We start from the raw sequence: 2,003 nt of genomic DNA on the forward strand, positions 1-2,003 counted from the left end.
AGCCTCCTGAGTAGCTGGGATTAACAGGTGCGTGCCACCACGCAGGGCTAATTTTTGTATTTTTAGTAGAGATGGGGTTTCACCATGTTGGTCAGGCTGGTCTCAAACTCCTGACCTCGTGATCCGCCCGCCTTGGCCTCCCAAAATGCTGTGATTACAGCCATGAGCCACTGCACACAGTTGTTCCTGTGATTTTTTTAACGAAGATTTAGGAGTTTTTCCTTTGAGTGAGAAAACTGGCGATATTTGAATAATGGCTGAAGAATAGTATTGTATGAATGTTAATTTCCCGGTTATGATCGCTGTACTGTGATTGTGTAAGATGTTAACACCAGGGAATGCTGCGTAAAAGATATACAGGAACTCTGTACTATTTTGGAAACACTGTAGTAAGTCTAAAATTATTTCAAGACAAAAAGTTTACAGGACATGCCCCAGTTAGCTGCTGGTCCAAAGAACTGAGGAAACATGTTGAGCAGTCCTGAACCCAAGTAGAAGCCTAGAGCCACACTCAGGCACCCTATAGCCTAAAGCAAGGTTGCTCCAGCCCATGCAAAGATCCATGAACTTGTTGTTGTAAGTCTGAGACATAGGAGGTGTGTTATGAAGCATTATTGTGGTAATAACTGACTGTTTTAGTCCATTCTCACACTGCTGTAAAGAACTGCCTGAGACTTGGTAGTTTAAAGGAAAGGGGTTTAATTGACTCACAGTTCCGCAGGGCTGGGGAAACCTCAGGAAACTTATAATCATGGTGGAAGGGGAAGCAAAACCTTCGTTCTTCACATGGCAGCAGCGAGGAGAAGTGCTGAGCAAAAGCGGGGAAAGCCCCTTATAAAATCATCAGATCTCATGAGAACGCACTATTATGGGAACAGCACGGGGGAAACCGCCCTCATGATTCAATTACCTCCCACAGGGTCCCTCCCATGACACGTGGGGATTATGGGAACTACAATACAAGATGAAATTTGGGTGGGGACACAGCCAAACCATATCACTGATGAATATAATGGAGTTGAAATATCTTGTCTTTAATTTGTATGTGCACATATGTGCATGTATGTCTGTATGCCCATGTATTTTAATCCAGCACCTCTTTATTCATGCATTAGAGTGACAGTCAGAGGTCCTCAATAATTGATGAGTTTTCCTTTGAGAATGAAATAAGAGAGATTTGATAACTTGATTAATTCATAGACACCACCTTAACTAAGTGATCAGAGTTAATATCACCAGTAATGAGATATATCAACATAATATAATCCCTTACATAATGCACCAAGAAGGGGGCAACATACCTGCTGTGGAATTCTTGCCAAAAATGCATAACCTCAATCTAATTGTAAGAAAATATCAGACAAACTAAATTCAGCTACTCTCTGTAAAATAACTAATCAGCAGTCCTCAAAAGTATTAAGGTCATGAAAGACAAAGAAAGACTGAGGAACTGTCACAGATTGGAATAGACTAAGAAGACATGATGGCTTAGAGAAATGTAAGATCCTGGATTAGACCTTGGACCAATGAAAGAACATTAGTGGGAAAACTGGCAATATTTGAATAACGGCTGAAGAACAGTATTTAGCAATGTTAATTTCCCGGTTTTGATCATTGTACTAGGTTGCGTAAGTGTTAACACTAGAGGAAGCTGGGTAAAAGATACTACAGGAACGCTACTATTTTGGAAACTTTGAGGTAAGTCTGAAATTATTTCAAAATGAAAAGTTTTAAAAAACATCAGGAATGAGGCCATTTATCTTTAGAGTAATACATTTTAAGGAATCTTTAGGGTTTCCATTTAGGATAATATTTGCCAGACCTCATGAAATTAAATCAAAATCTCTGAGGTGGGAGTGAGGCATCGGTATTATTTTTAAGCCCTTTAGGCGATCCCAATTGCAGCCAAGTTTAATAACAAGTAGTATAGACAATAACCATCAAATGAACACCAGTGTACCCACCACCTAGTTTAAGAAATACCCAGTTTTGTTTGTTTGCTG

The 2,003-nt window shown here is 39.8% G+C and overlaps 1 annotated feature.

The window, feature by feature from the left end:
- Positions 739-978: an enhancer, noted in NCBI's record as "active region_6178". NCBI's record gives its function as "activates an Ori minimal core promoter by ATAC-STARR-seq in GM12878 lymphoblastoid cells {active_cell/tissue: GM12878}" and the evidence as "EXISTENCE:reporter gene assay evidence [ECO:0000049][PMID:35858748]".

The sequence above is a fragment of the Homo sapiens genome, chromosome 12, assembly GCF_000001405.40.
Source record: "Homo sapiens chromosome 12, GRCh38.p14 Primary Assembly".
In the NCBI taxonomy this organism is placed as follows: Eukaryota; Metazoa; Chordata; class Mammalia; order Primates; family Hominidae; genus Homo; species Homo sapiens.